The 22,672-nt window shown below is 41.9% G+C and overlaps 1 protein-coding gene and 1 long non-coding RNA gene across 4 annotated transcripts in view, besides 1 other annotated feature; both read right to left on the bottom strand.

Annotated features, from left to right (window-relative positions):
- Positions 1-22,672, bottom strand: part of FSTL4 (follistatin like 4) — a 645,613-nt gene that overhangs the window by 361,965 nt on the left and 260,976 nt on the right. For all 3 annotated transcript variants that reach the window (XM_011543283.2, XM_011543284.3, NM_015082.2), the window contains exon 3: positions 8,767-8,800. In XM_011543283.2, the coding sequence (XP_011541585.1) occupies positions 8,767-8,800 (34 nt within the window). The remainder of the gene's footprint in view (positions 1-8,766; positions 8,801-22,672) is intronic.
- Positions 7,686-7,886: a silencer, noted in NCBI's record as "peak5467 fragment used in MPRA reporter construct". NCBI's record gives its function as "represses an SCP1 promoter by STARR-seq MPRAs in K562 erythroleukemia cells {active_cell/tissue: K562}" and the evidence as "EXISTENCE:reporter gene assay evidence [ECO:0000049][PMID:32103011]".
- LOC124901066 (uncharacterized) lies at positions 16,410-22,328 on the bottom strand. The gene is made up of 2 exons (XR_007058937.1): positions 21,245-22,328; positions 16,410-21,118 (listed from the first exon to the last, which is right to left on the bottom strand). It is a non-coding gene; the product is annotated as an uncharacterized LOC124901066 (long non-coding RNA).

Consider the following 22,672-nt stretch of genomic DNA (forward strand, 5'->3'; position numbering starts at 1 on the left):
GAACCAGCTCTGTGCACCATCCAACTGCACTGACTGCGCTCAGACCCCGGCCCAGGTCTCCCCACTATTGGCTGCACTCTTATCCCGGAAGGCTGTGGGTCACTGTCTCCATGGAGCCAGTGCCCATCCTACCTGCTCATTTCTGGGACACACGCTCCCTGACTTCCTGGAGAGTTCAAAGCAACATTCAACATTTTGTGAAAAGGTTTTTGTTTTTTTTTTTCTTTTTAATGCAGGCCCTGACGCATTTCTTGGAACCCAATGGCAACCTTGGCCAAGAAATATAACCCAAATAAGAGCATGTAGAGACCAGTGGGGTGCGTTAGAATGCACAGGATTTTCCAACCCTGGTTGCCTGATCTGCCAAGACACTGTGGCTTATTCACCAAGCCCAACTTGTACACCTTGGAAGCCCTCACCACAGCCACAGGAGAGAAATGGGCCAAATGCAGAGTGAGTGAGGCCAATCAGGAGAGAGAGTGTTGGCAGGTCTTGCTGATTTAGAGGAGAGGTCTCCCCTTACAGATTATTTCCAGTCCTGGCTCTGCTCCAGCTGAAGCAGAGAGATTAAAGATTTGTTAAAAAAACAACACAATCTTAAAATAATGAAAAGACAGGTTTGTTGTTTTTTACAAAAGAGCTTTAAAAGATGAACTCATTTTGATGAAAAGAATAGAATTAGAACATAATGGTCAGTTGCATCCTGTACTTCGTTTCCTAATAAAGAAAGATTGCCAAGCAGCAATGAGATAAAAGAGACAGAAACAAATGATTTTAACTCACAGATAATTAACCCCAGAGGCTGGTGGATAGCACATTAATATGCTGGGGCAAATAGCTTAATGAGGTTTGAAAAGGGCTTCAGTGTTTATATGAAGAAGATAATTTCAAGGGTTCCTGAAAAGCAAAGAAATGCCTCTGGCTTGGGGACTGGTCAAGTAACGAAGATGACAAATGTCAAGCTTAACTTCTGCTGGGATCTGAGAGATGAGGGTGAGTCTCCTGGGTAGGGTGGGGACCTCAGCAGGTATACAGGGAGCACCATCATCTCTCTCCACTTGTCCTGGAGGGGCAGGATCAGCGTGCTTCAGGCTGGCTGACACCATCCTGTCTTTTGGTCCTTAGGAATGTGCAGTGGTTCATACCCTTTAGGGGTCATGACCTCTTCGACAATGTGACTCTTCCCCACAAATTCCAGATAGTGACCTATGCCCAAATATTGCAATGCAACCTCTAAGGAGACCGCTAGGCAAGCACGAGTGATTAGGGGTTCATTATCCTGCCCACACCGACCTATAGCTTGCCCGTCATAACCACAGAGGTTTAGCTCATGTGCATGAACACAGTTTAAGCTCCTTCTAGCAGAGGGACCCACAAGTTGTTAGAAAGGGCAGAGGAGCTCTCTGAGGATGGTAGTTAAGGAAAGTGAGCATTCCCAGGGACTGGTGGGAAGAGCAAGCTCAGCAAATAGGACCAGGTATCCTGGAGCTATGGGGTTCACAGTCAAACAACCTGGAAGGCCCTGTATCTGTGATCTGACCTTTGTGAGAAACGGAGAGATGACATAAAGCCAAGTCAGCCCTGGGACATGCCAGGCATCTAACACTTTTTCAGTGCCCACTCTGTGTCAGGGACAGGGGACCCTGGGAGGCAGACATCTGACCCCTGCGTTTCCAAAACTTGTGCCTGCACAGCAGCATGAGAGCTGTCCCAGGGCAAAGGCTACAGGTACCAGGTGAGTGGCGCTGTGGCTCTTGGGGAGGATTTACATACCTCAGGTTCGGATAGCATCACTGGCAGATCCATCGTGAGCCCTGAGCTATCCACCACAAGGTCCTGCTGCCTCCAATCCCTGGAGAGAGCTGAGCTCAGCCAGAGGATGGGATGGTTTATATCTGTAATGCTTAAGGATGATTTCTGACACCAGTGCTCAGAAAGCCCCTGATCTTGGGAGAGAAGTTTATGTTTGTCTTTAAGTCTCACTCTATCTCCCAGGTTGGAGTGCAGTGGTGTGATCTCGGCTCACTGCAACCTCTGCCTCCTGGGTTCAAGTGATTCTCCTGCCTCCTGAGTAGCTGGGACTACAGGCATGCACCAACATGCTTGGCTAATTTTTTGTATTTTTAGTAGAGACGGGGTTTTCACCATGCTGGCCAGGTTGGTCTTGAACTCCTAACCTTGCAATCTGGCCACCTCGGCCTCCCAAAGTGCTGGGATTACAGGCGTGAGCCACCGTGCCCGGTCGTTTGTCTTTAAGTTCTTAAAGGCACCATCTTAAAGGCTTAGTTCTTCTGATTGTAGAAAGAGAGAATTAGAGCATAAAGTTAAAGAAAGACTCTGACAGAGGAAAGGGACCAGAATAGGCTAAGTTTAAGATAATTCTTCGGCCAGGAGTGGTGGCTCACACCTGTAATCCCAGCACTTTGGGAGGCTGAGGCGGGCAGATCACGAGGTCAGGAGATAGAGACCATCCTGGCTAACACAGTGAAACCCTGTCTCTACTAAAAAAATACAAAAACTTTAGCCGGGCATGGTGGTGGGCACATGTAGTCCCAGCTACTCGGGAGGCTGAGGCAGGAGAATGGCGTGAACCCGTGAGGCTGAGCTTGCAGTGAGCCGAGATCGCACCACTGCACTCCAGCCTGGGTGACTGAGTGACACTCGGACTCAAAATAATAATAATAATAATAATAATAATAATAATAATAATAATAATAATAATTCTTCATGGAAAAGTCAATAGGCCACAACATCCAGAGTCTCATGAACACATCTTGGAGACAGAAGAATGAACTGGCTTACTTGAGAAAGGCCTCTATGTCTATGGCCAGGCCTGTAAGAGCTCTAGTAAAAATTACCCATGCACTGAGCACTGCCAACATTGCCTGTCCTGTGCCAAGGCGTCTGCACACACAGTCACCCCTCCCAATATGTCCACGAGGCTGTGTGGACACCGAACACATCCCTGCACAGAATCTTCCTTTGAGGACCAAACCATTGCCTGTGGTCTGGATGAGGATGATTTTGCAAACCCTGAGGGGATTTTTCTGGTGTCATTCTGGGGGAAAAGTTTCACCCTCTGAGACGGTGAGCAGGCAGGACTCTGAGCTGCAGCTGCTTGTGGCCATCCTGGAAGGCTACCTGGAAGAGGCCAATGTGCCAGGAGAAGGAAGGACAGGATGAGTGTGAGAATCCTTTTATCAGCTGTTCTTGAAGCCAGATCCACCCTTAGATTCTGCAGCTTCATAGGCCTTTCAGGCTTCAGCCAGCACAAGTTGGGTTTCTACAACTCAGAATTGGGACTGATGGTTTGTACTATTACTATCCGCATCCTTTTTCAGGTAAGGTTGAGTAACTTACCTGAAGTCACACTGTGAGTAAGCTGCCTACCAATTGGTCATGATCAAAACTGGGCACCAAATCACTACTTAAGCAGGACACATCGGCTAGGTGCACCATGCACTTCCCATTCAACTTCAGGCAACTAAGCACAATATAGTTTCCCAGCAGCTGAAACAAGGCAACGCAACCCAGAAAGAGCCAATTTCTGTGAGGTTGGGAGACAGGAGATAGATGTCACTCTCAACTTCTTTGAGCCCAGTGACTGTAGAAGAACACTCAGTGCCTCACTGCATGTGAGAGAGGGTGGCATGGGGGAAGGAAAAGCCATCTCTTTCCCCAGATGGCAGTCTTGAATTGAAAAAGACCCACGGCTCCAGGCACTGTCAAATCTGGATGGCTCCCTTTTAAATTCCCTACATCTGCAGCTATTAAAGAAGTTACCCCAAAATAACCTAGGAGTTTATTAATCTGTTTCATTGAAGACAGTCAGCCACTTCACATTATACCAAGATAGATTAGGCAGGGAACTGAGAGATCCAGAAAACATCTGCTACACAAAATCAAAATTAATGGTAAACAGAATGCAGTTCTTGATAGCTGAAGTTCACCCAGATGCAGAGAACTATAAAGGGGCTATTGGAGGCAGCTGCCAATTAGGGACCGATTCCACGGGTTTTCAGAAAGTGAGGCTCTAGTTTCACACTCGGGACTGGCAGGTCATGTTTGCTTAGGAGATCTGCACTGCAAAGGAGCCAGAGCCATGCTGAGTGTGCACGTGATGGTCACCCCCTTTTTTCCTTTTCCCTGAAGACAGCAGCAGCCCTCCTCTCCCGGGTTCCCTCACAGCCTTGCTAGAAGCCAGGCCAGGCTGGACAGGGCTGGAACATGTGCGGGAGCCAGCGCTGGGAGGTGGGCAATGCAACATGACATTGGTGCTCATCCCCAAACTCGCAGCCCCTAATCACAGCACAATCACGGACATCTGGAATAGCTTACAGATCGTCCTATGCTCCTCAGAGATGGCTGACAAGGGCTGAATTATCCCAGCCATTTGCTCAGCTTACTCAAGTGTTCGCTCATGGCTGTAATTCAACATGATGGGAACAGTCAGAGAAAAGTACCGGTTTGAGTAGATGAATTTTGGCAGTCGCAATCAGCATTGGCCCTCACAGTGGACACGGGAGTATCTTAGAAAGGTAAGGGTGGCACCTTTTGCTGAAGCTTCAGAAAAGGGTGAAATTAAATTTTAGATGTCTGGAGGGAGTTATAAAAATACCTGCACTGGAAAGCACAGAGAGATGCAGCCATCACTCTTTCCCATGCAGCTCATATAGGGAGGTCCCAGGCATGAATATCCAGGGTCATACGGAACTGTCCTGAAGGAGGAATGGCTCTGTCTCCCTTGGGGAGGCATGCACCCTTCCCAGAGGACACCCTATCAGTCTCGTAGTCCTGCCACAATCTTTGCTACTGTGTCTACCTTCAAGTCCCACAAATCTAACTTGGAAACAAAGCACCCCCAGCAAGTCCCTCTCAGCTCTCTGGGCTTGGCAGCCAACATAAGGTACAAACACCCTTGGATGTGATGAAGCAAGATCAAGTCACTTAAGCAACCACCACCCACTAAAGAGAGGTTCAGGGCATCAGAGAGGCACCAGCCCAGAAGCATTCCTCATCCCTACTAAAAATTAACATGAAAAGGAAGGAGTCTCATGTATGCAGTGCTATCTGCTCTGTGTCACAGGTTACTCAAGGGAAAGGGAGGTAAAGAACGTGAACATTCTCTGAAAACATCAGAACAACCAAGAAGATATTCTTATTATTGCTGTCACACTGTTCTGTACATGCACAGCCCATGGAGCACAGTCTGGTGCCTGGGCACTCTGAGGAAGCTCTGCCTCTTCCTGGGCTCTCTAGGGCAGGGTTTGCAAAAGGCACTGCATGGAATGCCTGCCCTGAGATGGTTAAAAACAACACAATTAATTTTGTTAAATCCCACAGAAAACCAAGTTTGGAAAATGCTGCATATTACATTCCCTGTTGAGAGTGACATTTTGTCTATGAAAAATCATGAGAGATTCTCCAGTCAAAATATCATCATCATCAACAACAATGAAAACTAAAGTTTACTGAGTCCAACATTTTCCAAGTGTATTACTGTCCTAGGGCCACCATAATAAACCACAAACTAAGTGACTTAAAACCAGAGAAATGGATTTTCTCCCAGTTCTGGAGGCTGGGAGTACAAAATTAAGGGGCTGGCAGGGCTATGCTCTCTCTGAAGGTTCTAGGGATGGAGGGTCCCTTGCAACTTGCCAGCTCATGGTGTTTGCCAGCAATTCTCTGCTTCCATCATCACACGATGTTCTCCTTGTGTGTCTGTGTCCAATTCTCCCTTTTCTTGTAAGGACCTCACTATTGGATTAGGGCCCACCCTAATCCATTATGACTTCATCTTTATATCTGCCAAAACCCTATTTCCAAATAAGGTTCCATTCACAGGTTCTGGTTTAGGACTTTGACATGTCTTTTTGGGGAACAAAATTCAACCCATAATACTAAGCTTACTTGAATTTTCTTCAGTGCATCAGCCAGGAAAATCTAATGATAGCCATAGAACATTTCTTTAAAGGTGCCTTTCCAGAACCAAAGGGCCCAGTGCCTCACTTGTATATTACTGGGAAGGGCCAGAATGAAAAGGCAACACCCACAAAGCAAATGTGTAGCTTGCACTTACTTTAAGAAACAATTGTTGATTAACTACTGGCCCTGGGCTAGAGCTGTGAGGAATGTGGGGATGAAGAAGGCAGGAGGGTCTCTGATCTCAGGAAATTAACCTGATAGGAGCCCTTCCCTCTCCAATTAGATAGGGTAAGCTAAACACTTCAAGAAAGAGAGTTGGAAAGGATGAAGGGGAGGTGGATTTGACAAGGATGAGGGACAAGGCATGCAGGAATAGTCTAAGGCCAGAGGCAAGAAAGCTAGACAGCATGACATCTACGGCTGGAGGGGAAGAGGGGGAAATAGGGCAGAGGACAGGTTTAAGGCACACAATGCATTCACTTTGCCCCTACTGTCGCTAGTTCCCACTATGATTTGGCTTGGACTCGATTTCCACTGCTAACATTAGCCCCTCTCACTTCTCAACACACATACTTAGTCAAGAGTTTCCAAAAGTCACATAATGTGAAGTTGCAGTTGGTTAGCCATTTGTGGCCCTAAACCTTCAATGGAGGGGATGCTCCTGAGTCAGGTACAGTATTGAAATAAGGCAAACCAAAACAGGAAACCTCCTCAGGTTCTGTGACTGGAAGCTTCCTCTCTAGACCTGAAGACTTTCTAGACTCTCCTGGGCCTTGTAAGCTGTGCAGAAAAATCAGCTATTACTCATCTGTTCCTCTTTCAGTCCGGGGTCGAGTCAGAGCTGGGAACCAACCCAGGTGTTCATTGCTAGACAATATCTTACTTTTCTTTGACAGAAAAATAGTTTACTGAAGCACCATAGTGCTTCTATTCTTTTTATACTTGTACACTGTTCTGGAGAAGATTAACAACCCCACAACCCAAGTCAGTGAGTCAGTGAATTCCCAGACCTAAAAATACTTAGAACCAGCCGGCAAGGTCCCACTCCTTTTCTTCCTGCCAGGTTGTAAGCATTGACGTTACAGCACTGGGCTATTTCAGGAACTCTCAAACATTCAACTTTGACAGAAACAAGCAAGAAAGACATCAGTGCACAATAGGAAGAAAAAAGTTTCTGTGATGTTAGAACAAATTTGCTAGTACAAACCCACAGTGTATGTTCCTAAGTCAACCATTTGCGAAGGCTGACACTTCCAGCGGTGGAGAGGTTACAGATGAATGGAGTGCAGCCTGACTACACCTTCACTCCTCCTCTGGACACTCTCATTCTTCTGGGAGTTTGAAGTCATAAGTTCACTCAGACCTTTTTCATGCATTTGAATAGAAATACATGGCTCTTTTATAACCCCAGCCTTATTAGAGACATTTTCAACACAAGGACAGTAAGATTCCAAAAAGGTTAAGTTTATATGTGATTTTACAATGCAAATCAATTCCAAACATTCACAGTCGGGATTCTGGCATAAACAGAATATTATTCAAAGCCAAAGTTCATGTCAAATTCTCCTCTCCTTATGGCTATTTCTTTCCAACTTACATGGTCACAGTACCCATTGTGAACACTACTTTCCATAAGAAACCTCCTTCCCAGCTCCATCAACCTTCATCCATTTGGTTTTGATATTCAAACAATGCAGTTTGCTTTACATATTGTCCTATAGTTCAGAGGACATCGAGTCCGAAGCCGAAGATAATGGCAAATGGGAATGTAAGCCAGAAAGTTCATCTTAGAGTCAGATTATCCAGATCCTATGACCCTAGGGATCCAGCACCATGGACAGCAGCACACTACCAGCTGGACTCAATATAGTGTGAAAAGTTTGTGTTACCAAGGTCCCAGGCATGAATATCCATGTATCAAAGCATGTTGATAACATAGCCATTCTATGTCTTTTGCTGTGTTGCATAACACAAGAACTAATCAGGAGGCAAAGCAATGTTAGATTTAGTAGTCAATATAGAATTTGCTAATTTCTTTTAGATTGTCTCCCTCTTTGGAGACAGTACCACAGAGAAGGATGTGGTGAAGGGTAAAACCAAAGCCACATTCTAGACCAGGAACTCATTTTCGTTTCTGATCTCATCATTCTATCCATGTAATAAAAAGATGATTGTTAATGATTCCACAAATCATACAAAAGGCATCCCTTATTAGAGACTAGGTATTACTGAAAATGAATAAGGGAAACTTCAATTTCCACTAAAAGATTTCTGAAAGTAACACCCATATATGTTTACCTCAGAGACCATAAAACAAATGTGCTACAGGAACTCTGGCAGGGGAAACAGAACATCATGGAACTGTTTTCAAAAGGAAAATTAATTAGTTATTTCTATTTCAGCTTAGCTGAAGCTGTAAGAAATCTATTCAGAAATATTTTTCACAGTGGCATCTCTTCCCAGATATTGAAATACCACAAACCATAGGCCATTTTTTGTGTTGTTCACGTTGCTTTGCTGGGTAAAACTAATAATTATTCCAAACTTCACTCAAGAATGAGGCTTCTCTTAAGAGACCAAAAACATGATTGCGAATGAGCCAGTTCTTCAAGTATCCCACCTCTGGTACTTGAAGGTAGAAGTCATAGTTTTCACAAGCAAACCTGGCCTTCAGTCCATGCAGTCCCTACAGACAAGTGCTAAGCAGTCAGCACCCAGAAAAGGCCGCATGAAATTTCAAAGAATGAGCTGCCCACAGTCTGAAGTTCATCTTAGTTTCAGCAAACTACTTCAAAAATGTCAACACTGAAAATAAAATGGGTATGAGTGCATTTTTCCTACCTTCTCTTCTTGTGACTTCAAAGCTTCTGGGCTCCTGCAAGAAAAGAAAGACTTTGTGTTTTCTGAAGAATAATTCATATGTACAGATACTTGCAAATATCTCCTCTCTTGTTAGTCACACATTTATGAAAAGGTGAACAATCTACGAAGAACATGACACTGAGCAATGTTGGTCTACTAAACTCTCAACATGTACATCTATAAATGTAAACAACTTGTTGCTTTGAGGGCTTAGGCAAAAAAAATCCTGTTAATCACAAAGTTTTTAATGAGCACAGCTCATTCTCAGGGCCTTCCTTATTTGGAGTATGGGCTGGTACCAAGTGTTAAGGAAGACCCTCTTCCAGGTTGATGACCCACCCTCTGCCTGAACTGTAGGTGCTTTTAGGGACTGAAGAAAACATAAGCAGATGGGCTAAAATTATCTGGCCAGCAGCAGGTTCTGTTTTGTGGTGCTATGGTGAAGACCACCACTGCTACTGGATATGTCACTGACATCACCTGATAATAGATTAAACACAATTTATAGTTTCCAAAGGGTGAGATCCTATGAACAATTTGGATAGCCAGTTCATGCCACTGGACTAAATTAAGCCCTTGGGTTTTCTTAATTCAATCCTATCTTTATTGATGCTTACTATGCGCAGGGCAATAAGCAAAGTGTTTCAGAAGTTACCCAGGTAAAACTGAGTACCTGCATTGATATTCACAGTTGATTAGGGGGCCACAGAACAAACACAAATTACTGAGAAATGAAAGGGTGATTTGTCTTGTAAATACCAGCATTTCACATTCCAGTTGGAAACATAAGGAAAAGTGTTTTTAAAAGAACCTTTGAAAATAGCACTGAAGAACAGGCAGATTTTCAGACAAAAATGGGGGAGGGAGGGTGGACCAGGAAGAGAGAATAGCATAGGAAAATGTTGGGTGGTATGAAAATTCAGGGTAGCTCTAGAAGAATGAAAAGTCCTGGTGAGAACTAATGGGGGGAAAGACTAGAAATGCATATTGCAGTTTCATAACTAATATAAAGTATCTCCAATTCATCATAAACGACATGTTTTGGATAAAAAGCCTAAGGTTAAAAATAAGCTGAAAGTCCATACTAGCAACTAAAGAAGAGAAGAGAAAACACCAAACTGGGACTACCACCTCAACACCGCAGCCAAGAAGGTAATTCAGCAACAGTGCTTTTTAAGGTAATAGCATTGTCTTTCACACCTTAGCATTCTTGTCTAGCATCCTCTTGTCAGAAGGGGGAGGCAATATTAGAGATGAAACTAAGAGGGCACTGGGAAGGTTGTCCTACCCAAATTACATTCCCTGACTGCTACCTTTCTACTGAGCAAAAAGCCCTGGTGGAGATCAGTGGAAGATCCATGTCACATGCCAACAGCCCATCACACAAACCAAACTCTGGTTCCTGAAGGAGTACTCATCAGGTAAGGGTTCAGAGGAGGCGGCATAGAGATGACAGGTTAAATGCAGGAAACATAAGCCACAGAGCGTATTTTGCACAAAACAAACCCAGCTCCTCCCAAACTGTTCCTCAGTAACCTGCTCCAAGGCCTGGCACCTCTGTTTCTTGAAACAACTAGTATTCATGGAACAGGAGATATTCATAATCAGCTCCAGAAAAAAACTATGAAATTTTTGTTGTGGTTACATAAAATTTATAAATTAATTTAGGGAAAGCTGACATCTATATAATGTTGCATGTTCTTATCTAATAACACAGGATTTTAATAATTGTTTGAGTCTACTTTTGCTTCTTTCAAGAGTATTTTATAGTTTTCCTTGTGCGTATTTTGAATATTTCTTTTTTGTATGTCTTTTGTTATCATAAATGGGATGTTCTCTTATTATTTCTTCCAGCTGATTTTTGTTTGTATATTTGATGGCAATTTAAAAATATTTTTTATATTTATTTTATAACCAGCTTCTTGGTTAAATTTTACTGTTTGTAATAGTTTTTCCATTGATTCTTTTGGGGTTTCCATTTGAGTATTTATGTAATTTGCAAACAGCAATTATCTTATCTCTTCTTTCCAATTCCTATACTTCCAGGTGTTTTCTCTTGCCTTAGAGCTTTAACCAATTCTCAACCCATGTTAGGCGTTGTGTTCATACTGCGCACCCTTGTCTTGGCTTTTGCTTTCAGAAGAAAACCTTTAGCATTTCCCCATTAAGTGACAGGCTGGCTTTTAGCCTGAGATATGTTTATTATATTAATGAAACCAATATACATTTTACTGAGTTTTAAAAATAAATGTATGTGCTAGTTGAAAAACAGCTTGTTCCTTTACTCATTTGTTTATTGACTGTTTCCCTCTAGTGGAATGTGGGTTGGGATGGCGCCAGTATCTTTTTCACTCTTGCATCATCAGTGCTGTAGCAGAACAGATGCTCAATACATATTTGTTGAATAAAAAATAAAATAAAATAAATGTGTTGGATTTTATCAAGTACTTTTCTCTGGCATTTAAGGAGATAATCATATGATTTTTCTCCTTAGTTCTATTAATAGGATGACTTACATAGTAGATCTCATAATATTCCACTACCCCTGTATTTCTAAAACAAGCTTTTCTTAGTCATAATATACTTTTAAAAATATGCTGCTGGATTCTGTTTATTATTTTAAATATGTTTTACATTTATTGGTCTATAATTTTTTGTACTGATATTCATAAATGAGATTGGTCTACCAATCTCATATTTTTCTTATCAGATTTAGAAATTGCCCGGGCGCGGTGGCTCTCACCTGTAATCCCAGCACTTTGGGAGGCTGAGGCGGGCGGATCATGAGGTCAGGAGATTGAGACCATCCTGGCTAACACGGTGAAACCCCATCTCTACTAAAAATACAAAAAATTAGCCGGGCGTGGTGGTGGGCGCCTGTAGTCCCAGCTACTCGGGAGTCTGAGGCTGGAGAATGGACTGAACCCGGGAGGTGGAGCTTGCAGTGAGCCGAGATCGCGCCACTGCACTCCAGCCTGGGAGACAGCGAGACTCCGTCTCAAAAAAAAAACAAAAAACAAGAAATTAAAATGAAACCAACTTTATGTAATGAATTTGGAAGTTTTCCTTTTATTATACTCTGAAATAATTTAAATAAAAATAGGATTATCTTATTTTAAAATTTTTTTATTCTTGAGACAGAGTCTCACACTGTGGCCCCGGCTGGAGTGCAGTGGCACGATCTCGACTCACTGCAACCTCTGCCTCCCAGGTTCAAGTGATTCTCCTGCCTTAGCCTCCCAGTTCTTCCACTTCATTTCTCAGAGACTGACTGAAAGGGAGGAGAGGTTAAACTTGTCCAAGGTCTCATATTTTGGTCGGTGGCCAGCTAAGATTTAAATCCCAAAGTCTGATTCCAATGCCTATGCACACAGCATTCCAACTTTAAAAATAGTCATGATAGTTAATTCCTAGGGACATTGTGAAAATTTTATGAGATAAACTTCTTCTTTGTGCCATAAAAAAGTAGCTTGTATGAGACTAATCCTTCTGCTATCAACAATTATAAAAGTGGAATTAAAAAAAAGTTTTTGAAGGCATCCAACAGCAACAAAAGCAGCCAGAATTTAAAGGAAAGTTATGAGAGAAAAGTCCATTGAGATGAGCCCCATATTCACTGCCACATTTCCCCTTTGCGACATTTGCTGTTTTGCATAGAAGCCAAACAGAATATAATATTCTAGAACTTAGAGAAGTCTCTCTGAGATGGGAAATAAACATCAGAGTGCAAGGCTACCAAAGAAGCCAGAAAATGAGGGTCAGAAACCCTGGAAAAGGAAACCAGAAAGAAGTGAGCTCAACATTTTCGGCTTCCCCTTGAGTTATATGATTATGCCTGAGCTACACACATAAAGGGCAAAAGGCTGAGAAACAAGTTAAAAAGTAGCCTTGAACAAGAAAAAAAAAAGCCTCAAATAATAAAATCTAAGTATAGATTTTGAAAGTACATGGTACTAAAGAGACAAAAATTAGGCTTTCCAAGAAATAGTCGCCCTGACAAATGCAGCAGACTTACTGCTAAGACCATATATTCTCAAATTATTCCTATTCTTGAGTAGATAAAGATGATATTCCAGGACTCTATCTGTCTAACAAGGAAAAATAAATCCTCTGTGGAAATCTATAAAGTGATCCACAGGCTTTACAATTTTTCATATATAATCTCCAGCATCCAGTCTAAAATTACCAGGCATAGCACGAAATGGGATCGAATGGCTAAAATCCAAGAAAACAGACCACAGAAACAGAGCCACATGTTATCCAGATCTTAGAATTCTTAGGCACAAGCTTTAGAATAACTATGGCTAATATGTTTAGGAAAATAGGAGAAAAGATGCTGAATTTCATTATAAAACTAGAATCGAATAAAAGACTACACATTGGGTACACTGTAAAATGCTCAGGTGATGGATGCACCAAAATCTCCGAAATCACCACTAAAAACCTGTAACCAAACACCACCTGTTCTCCAAAAACCTATTGAAACAAAAATAAACAAAAAATAATCAAACAAAAATTTCATAACTGAAAATGAAATAACTGAAAAATTCAATAGGTGGATTTAACAACAGATTAAACACAACTGAAGAAAGGAATAGTAAGATGGAAGCTAGATCAGTAAAAATTAACCACACAGAAGATCTGAAAGGAAAAAAGATAAAGAATGAAAAATACAGAAAAAGTATGAGACACTGTAACATCATGAAGAGTTCTAACAAGCATGTAATTAAATTTTCAGAGTGAAAATTCAGAGAAAATGGGCAGAATCAATACTGAAAGAGACGCTTGTTGATACTTTTCCAAAACTAATGAAAGACATCAAGCCAGAAATTTGGGAATCTCCACAAGCCCCAAGCAAGATAAATACAAACACAACCATACCTAAGTACTCAGTAAAATAGTTGAATATTCAAAGACAAATAGAAAATCTTTAAAACAGCCAAAGGGTGGGTGGTAGAGATGGGGAGAACATTGCCTATAAGGGAGCAACAGTAAGTGGGATAGCTGATTTTTCAGTAGGAAATAATGGAACCAGAAGACAATGGAATGCCATCTTTAGTTTTTAATTTTTTTAACTTTTATTTGAAGTTCAGGGGTATATGTGCACATTTGCTATACAGGTAAACTGCATGTCTTGGGGATTTGGTGTAAAGCTCACCCAGGTAATAAGCATAGTACCCACCATCTTTAAAATTTGAAAAAAACATTAGAATCCAATGAAAATATGGGTATTCATAAGGTAAAATAAATGAAGGTAAAATACAGATATTTAGACAAAAAAACCCTGAGAGAATACATTGCCAACAAATTAACACTAAGAGCAATACTTTATAGCGAACTTTTAAGGCAAAAACGCAGAAAATTATTCAGATGAATGTATAGCTATGCAAGAAGAAATAATGAGCACCAACAAGCATTAAAAAAACCATAAAAATACATTTCGGCTACTTAACACAACAATAATGCACTGTAAGATAAAAATATTTGTAGAACTAAAATACATAGTAATATGATTTTTTTAAAAAAGATCAGGAGGTCAAATGAGATTAAAGTGTTATAATGTCCTAGTACTGTCCCAAAAATGGCAAAATTAGTGCTATGACACCAAAGGAATGAAGTAACCAAAACTGTCTCATCCAAAAGAAGACATGAAAGGCAGAAGAGAAAAGGAATATAGAACAGAGAAAACATGGGTTTATATTTAAACCTATTTAACTATAAATTGGCTGAATAATCCCATTAAAACACAAGGATTGGGCTGGGCGAGGTGACTCATGCATGTAATCCCAGCACTTTGGGAGGCTGAGGCAGGTGGATCACGAGGTCAGGAGATCGAGACCATCCTGGCTAACACAGTGTAACCCTATCTCTACTAAAAATACAAAAAATTAGACAGGCATGGTGGTGGGCACCTGCAGTCCTAGCTACTTGGGAGGCTGAGGCAGAAGAATGGCGTGAACCCGGGAGGCAGAGCTTGTAGTAAGCCCAGATTGCGCCACTGCACTCCAGCCTGGGAGACAGAGTAAGGCTCTGTCTCAAAAAAAAACAAAAACAAAACAAAACAAAAAAAATAAATAAAAAATAAAACACACAAGGATTGGCATAATAGAGAAAACAATATCCAACTATATGCTGCCTACAAGAGACATATCATAAATATATGTTTACAAAAAGGCTGAATGTAAAGAATTTAAATGATAAACCATATTAACTTCAACCAAGAAAACATGGCTATAGATAAAGTAGGCAAGAATTATTATCAGTGATAAAAAGGGATGGTTCATAATTAGAAAAGGAACAACTTAACAGGAATATATAGCAATTCTAAACTTGTACATACCTAGTAGCATAGTCTAAATATATGCAAAGCCAGAACTCAAAGAACTAAGAGGAGAATTTTTTTAACCCACAATAATGGTTGGAAAATTTAAAAAATCTCTGTCTTTAACTGATAGAACAAGTAGAGGAAAAAAGCATCAGTAAGGATATAGAAGAGTTGAACACTATAATTTTAAAACTTGACCTAATTGACAGACATCAAACACTGTACCAAATAGCACTTCATTTCAAGTGTCCATTCGAGATTTATAAAAATTGGCCGTATGCTGAGCCATAAGCAAGTTTAAACACATCATGGCAACCTCATGGAAAAAATGTTGGACGTATCTTAGAACATACATAAAAATCATTTCCTGATGGATTGTAGAACTACATGTGAAAAGTAATGCAACTAAGTCTCTATAAGATATCAAGAGTATCTTCATGACTTTAAATACATAGGTGAAAATTTCTTAAAGAGGATGTGAAAAGCAAACCAAAAGAATATCTCAGACTTTATTAAAATTAGGACTTCTGTTTATTAAAAGATAGGATCAAGACAATGAAAAGGGAAGCCATTAAGGAAATATATTTGCAATCCATATATCTTACGAATGACTTATTGAGAATATATAAAATACTTTTGCAAATCAATAAGAAAAATACAAATAACCTAATTGAAGAATGAGTAAAACATTTGAATAGGCACTTCACAAGTTGAAACCACAGTGGGATACTGCTATAAACCACATATAATAGATGACATTAAAAAACTGTTAATAGTAAATGTTTACAAGGATATGAAGGAACTATAATTTTTATACCCTCAGAGGAACCAGCACCAGCAAAACTTTCCTCATTGGTCTGAGTCCCAGTATGGAGAGGCTCCTCCCCTGGAGACAGTAGTGATAAAGGTATTCCTTCCTGCAGGTACTGCTCTTAACTATTGCAGTGTTTCCTTTTCCACCTTCTTAATCCTTTAATATCTGTTTAACCAATTTCCTGTAATTAAATTATGTTAAAATAACTATTGTGACATCTATGTTCCTGACCCAACAATTTAACTCCTAAGTAAATGTCCAACAGAAGTACATTCATGTGAGCACCAAAATGCATGTATAAGAAGGCTGAATGCAGCATGATATGTAATGCAAATGTCCACCAATGGTGGAACAGATAAACTGTGGCATATCCATACAATGGAAAACTTCACTGCAGTGCAAAAGAAAAAACTCTGCAACATGTGATAATGTAGCTGAATCTCATTGTCATAGCGCTGAGGGAAAGAAAGCAGAAACAAATAGTACAGTTTATAAGATTTTATTTTTATAAATCTCAGAAACAAGCAAAACCAATCTCTGATGACAGATGAGTAGTAACCTTTGCGAGGATAATGACCGGGGGACACAGAATGGTTTGTGGGATGCTGGAAATGTTCTATATTATCATCTTGGTGGTGGTCACATAGATATGTTCACTTACAAAATATTAACCAAGTGCTACACTCAGAATATGTGTCTTTACTATATATTTGATATGCTCCAGTAAAAATTTTTAAAATAAGACAAATTACCCAGGAGTAATCAGAAGTTTGTTAAATAGAGGGAACAAACCCCACTTTTAATTTACAGATGAAGAAAGATGTACTGAGGGAAAGACTGCAACTTGCTGAATTTCACATGAGAAGTGGCCACATCAGGACTAGACTCAAACCTCTGAGGTCCTACCACTATACTCTACTTCCTCCAAGGAAATGCTCAACACACATTCGTGAAAAATATGACAGGGATTAAGAGTGGGGGCCAGCTGTGCCTCTGTCACCTTTGTTGAATTATTTAACATTTCCTTAGTCTCTGTTTGTTGATCTGTAAAGGCAGAAATAGCACATTCCACATAGAGTAGTTGTGATGATCAAATGAAATAATAAGCTTGTCCCATGCTTAGCATGGTGTCCAGCACACAGGCAGTCCTCCAACATGTGCCACCATCATCAACAACATTACCATTCATGAAAAGAGCTAAGAGAGGGAGACGATCAGATTATTTTTGGGAGGTAAATGAGTTCAACGGCTTCCTCAATTATTGAGGCTAAATAAGAATCCATCTTTCCAGTGCTTAAAAAAGCAACCCCTCAAAAGCTGTAGCAGAAATGTAAGGAGTGAAATTCATTGACATAATGACACCAAGGCCCTGGATGCATTGTCTAAGGAAGAAATTATTTTCTGCAGAAGCTTCAAACCAGATGGTTATAAATGAGACTTAGTGCATGGGCATTACTTAATGACTAAATTTCTTTAACTAAAAATCTAATTTTATTATAGTATAAATCACACTTTCTTGAAGCAGGGAATTAATTTTAGATTTTTCATTCACTGCTCATAACCTTTCTACGAGTTTGACAGCCAAATCATTTAAAATGTCATTTAACCAATACAATACAACAGCTTTATTCCTCATTGTGCCCTTCCTGAATCCGTTATCTCTCACTATAATGTAGAAGAACTTAAATAAAAAATTACCATTCTATAAAGCTGTATTTTACTATGCAGTTAAACTACACAATCCTTATTTTTGAATCAATATAATATGAGTGCTGAGCAATATTTTTCATAATCCAAAAGCCGATTACAGTTTCTCAGCTACCAAAAAACAGTTTGAAGGCTGCTGAAAGAGTATAAATGAGCACTCTCAAATTCTACCCCTAGGTCCATCCCATGTCCATCTTGGGCACAGGGGGTGAGGCTCTGGAAAAGGATGGTGAGGCCCTGCCCCAGATCATAGTCACGCCTCTCCATCTGTGCTCTCAGAGGTCTTTGGTTAGGGAGTAAGCCTCAGTCTGTCACCCAGAATATTATGGGATTCACTGGGAAAATATTGGCTATGTGGGTTACGAAAGTGGGGGATCAAAAGCAACCACACTGAGAAGAGAATGCAACGAAAAAGTAAATGGAGTGGAGCTCCATGTGACCAGATCTTCGTAGACAAAGCAGAATGGAGTGGAGCTCAACGTGGCCAGATCTTCATAGACAAAGCAGAAAGGAGTCCGCTGTACAAGGGGCCCGGCCTGAGGAGGTCCCTGTGCCAGTGTCCTGAAGATGGGCCCCTGACTGGCAGCACCTCCATCCAGCAGCAGAGGGGCTGAGGAAGCTCCTGGCTTCAGAGTTCCTCAGGCCTCAACTTCCTGAAGACACACAAAAGGAAGCCCACGTGTCCAATTTATGAACCAATTAGTACAGATGAGATGGAAGCTTTGCCATGGGATTCATCGCTACTGAAATTCTGACATCTAAGTTCTAAGTTTTTCATATCTGAGATGTTCTTAAAATGAATGCTTCTTTAACAATCTTTCTTACAATTTTTCATTTATTCACTTGAATTTTAAAAACTTGACTCTAAGCAGGTTCATTTTTGCTAGCAAGACACTATTCTGCAATTAAAATCTTCACTTGGACTGACAAAATACAGCTAAATAAAGTGGCGCCTTATGTAGCATGTATTCCACTGCTGGCTCCCACTTACTGTGCACACAGTAAGAGTTTTGCACACTTTATCTCATTTATATGGCTGAGTTAAAGGCAGAAGGAAAACTATTGAGTTGTTGGATTTCTCAGCACACCATGTCTGGGTCTTCAAAGCCAGAGAAGGTGAGAGAATTAACCCTAAACCCGGGGCTAGTTTGAAAGCCAAGCTGAATAATCCAGCAAAGAACAGGATATTCTGGGGGAGGGTCTAAACACCCCCTGCTTCCTCCAGTTATGCAGAGCTTGCTGCAAGTGCTCATGAAAAACACCGAAGGGGTGCTGGCTCTTGAGAAATGCCACTTAATCGAGGGGTCAGTGTTCCCCTCCTGCACCACAGAGAACAGTGTCAGATGGCTCTGGGGTTAGAGAGAGGTGTGTGTAGCCCTGGTAGATGGGCTTACTGCCTTAAAGAACAGTCAAAGGTGGGGGAGGCACAGCTGCCAACACTAAACCTTTAGGGGCTTAGATAGCTGAGGGAGTTTGATAAAGGCCAGGGGTCCCTGCACCTTTCAGCCAGCCCTGCCTAGGAGTTGCCCAATCAGCAGAGGCTGAGCTTGCCTTTCTCATCTTCCCAGAAGACCAGATGTGAAGGGGAGAGGGCTGGGCATGGCCATATAGGCAAAGAATGTGCAAGTCTCCTTTGAGCCCACGAGTTCGAGACCAGCCTGGGCAACATAGTGAAACCCCCCTCTCTACAAAAAAATATGAAAATTAGCTGGGCATGGTGGTGCCTACCTGTAGTCCCAGATACTTGTGAGGCTGAGGTGGGAGGATCACCTGAGCCCAGGGAGGTAGAGGCTGCAATGGAGCGCCACTGCACTCCAACCTGGGTGATAGCGTAAGACTCTGTCTCAAAACAAACAAACAAACAAACAAAACAGTGCAAGTCTCCAGCACTTTGGGGCTGAAACAGAGATAGCACAGCAAGCAAGCTCGATGTCCCCTCTATTGCCTATCTTACAATAAATGACAATAAATGGATCAATGTAAGGAAACCAGTATTACATGAGGCTGGGAAGTCTAAAATAACTAAGCCAGAGAGTTTAAAGGGAGGTTTATCAAGACAAAAGGAAGAGATCATGTCACATGACTTTTTAAAAATACCAAGGAAATGTCTTTACTATTAAGGTACTCTTTTACTTTACTAATTTAAAAAAGAATCAACATGATAAACCCATCAATAGCTTCTTGTGGGCAGACCTGGGAATACCAACTTTATTATGCCCATGAGGGCAAAGCCTCCAGTAGATCTGAATCACCTGATTGTTTCAGTAGCTGCTCCACCAGCTGCAGGCCTGAGGAAGCCACCCGGATACTTCCCACTCCAGTTTGCCCATCTGTAAAACGGGCAGACCCGACAGCCCAGCCAGGACAATTGAGGCGATATCTCAGAAACATGGGCAGAATCCCACAGAGAGTTCTGTCCAGGGCTTTCTGACAGGAAGCAAAGGGTGGTCAGTGAAGGAGAAAGCTGTGATACTCTAAAAAGAAATGGAATTAATGGTGATTACCAGACACTAGACAGAAAAGAAAGCAAAAGGATAGGTGCCCATCTTCAGAAATTAAGATGATTTGGAAATATTATATGAGGATTTAGTGATTTTAAATTCTAGATATCATTTAAAGCTTTATGCTAAAGGTTATTCATTTACAATTTAAAAAGAAAAGTTAGCCCTGAATTTAAGACAGTCTTTGGTAGCAAATCCACCAATATGAGTAAACATTCAGTTACATTTGATGAAATAAATGTCAATAACTGATTGATCACTGCTCCTTGTTAAACATAATCGCCTGCACACAGCCAGATTAAGGGACCAAGAAGGCAAGAGGGGAATTTTCCAGTTGTATCTCTCAGACAACCCAACAAATTAAAAACTAATTAACTTTTTGATTTGGAAAGTAATCCACATCTCTCAGAATGAGCAATCACCACGTCCAAGACCATCACAACAGTTAGCAGCATGGGGCTCTAACTCAGCACCCTGAGGAACAACCTCATTAACATGTCATTGCTATTTCCACTGACACTAGCAGGGCTCAGCCTAACACAGGCATTATCTGCAGAGCTGCTTAACCCCAAAAGCAATGGTCATACTGGACTTTAACTACAAGAGGGGTGTCCATCTCCCCCAGGGTCCACGTCTCCTTCATGTCTTACTGCAGCACAGCGCCTGGCGTAGCGTAGGCCCTAAACACATTCTATTGCTAGAATGAAATCAGATTATCCCAAGATCTCCTGGTAAGAATATGGAGGTGAGTGCAGTTTCCCAGCTGGCTCACGGAACATACTGACTGTCACTGAAGCCTGACGTGCTCTATTTTTCCTTTTGTAGGTAAAGTTTCTACAGAAACACAGGGACAGCCTGTGATGCGTTCCTCATTCTGAGACGCTTCATGTCTACCAGCTGTCGATCGAACAAGCTTCTTTCCTGCACTGACTTCATTCCAGCAGTCCATGATCCATAAGAAAATCATGACAGTCTTGTAGGTGTCTGGGGGAGGAGAGAGGACAGCAAGGACAAGTGGCTCTTGAGAGGAAAGGGGGAAGGAGTTCATGTTTAAATTATTTATTACACCCTCCAGGAACCATCCAATAAATGATACAACTTAACATCCACCTGTTTAACATGATATTCCAATCTGCTACTTTTCTTTCTGCCAACTGCAAGCCCAAGATGAGGTTTAGAATAACCTGTGCCTAGAAAATTAAAAGACAAAAAAGGAAGAAAGTGTGCCCTCCAGTACAGTCCTCATGTCTGAGTCTATTTTTCATTCTTTGTTTTGCACAGAATTAGGGAGTCACAGATACAGACGGTCTGACATAAAGATGCAAAATGTGCCAGAGTCATGGTGGGGCCAGCGGTGATTGATCAGGCTGGAGCCTCTGAGAAGGTGAGCAAGCTGGGAAAGGGCCGGCTGGGAGCAGGACTGGGTGCAAGTGGCGTCTGATTGGGATAAGCTGAAAACACCCAAAGTGGCCAGTGCTTAAGGTCAGGCACACCCTCTTCTCCAAAGGGACACTTGAAGATCCCTTAATCCAAGACTTCCAACCAGAAACTGTCATCTGACACAGCAATAGGTCCCCTCCCCTTGGATCTTCCTGCTAGCTAGTGTTCCCTCTGTCCTCCTGAGCATCTCCTCTGGCCCCTCTTCACTTCCACTCCCATCCCTCACAGCCTCTGTGGCTCAGCTTTGTGGATGCCTTCCCATCAGGTCCTAGCTTGCAATTCCCACCTCCTTGACCCTCCCCAAGACCCTCAGCCCCATCACCCAGGTCTCTCAGCAGAGCTCTTGACGGGCCTCCTGAGCAATTCATTTCATCATCCCTTCGTTTGTTCATGTGTTCACTCATTCAGTAGATATTTATTGTCCTGGAGATGTAGCAGTGCCAAGGCAGCCCCAGCCCCAGTCCTTATGAAGCTTAGGATCTCACTGGAAGAAACGGGCAACAAACAAACACACAAACAAAGGAAATGTAGAGAATATCTCATGCTAAGAAGTGCCACGGTGCAAAATGAAACAAGGAAGGGGGATAGACTGCCACAGGGGAAAGGATTTGCTGTGTGACATCAGGCGGTCAGGCCGTGCCCCTCCTGGGGGCTGGCACTGGAGTAGGTCTCTACTTCAATACCCAATCTGAGCACGTTTGTCTGCTCAGGACTGTTCAATCCTTCCTGCCCACCAGGGGAGCCTCTCTCTTCACTGTCATCTCCCTACTTTGTAGCTGTGGCACCAGCAGTAAGAACTAGCAGGGGAAGCAGCGGAGGTCCTAGGGATGGCAGTAGCATCCCAGTAGCAGCTTCCATTTACTAAGCAATTACCCACGCCAGGCTCCATGCTAAGCCCTCTCCACACCCGCCTCCTTCAATCTGCACAGCCCCCAGAGGAACTTCCGACTCCTACCCACACTCATGAACCTCCACCATGTGTGCCTCACTCAGGGTCTGGTGATTTTGGATTGCTGTCTGAATAAATCATTGGTTTGGGCTCCCACAGGCTTTTTGTACAGGGAGGTAAATCCCCATACACACTTTGATTAGAAGGCA

This window comes from Homo sapiens, chromosome 5 (assembly GCF_000001405.40).
Source record: "Homo sapiens chromosome 5, GRCh38.p14 Primary Assembly".
NCBI classification, from domain to species: domain Eukaryota; kingdom Metazoa; phylum Chordata; class Mammalia; order Primates; family Hominidae; genus Homo; species Homo sapiens.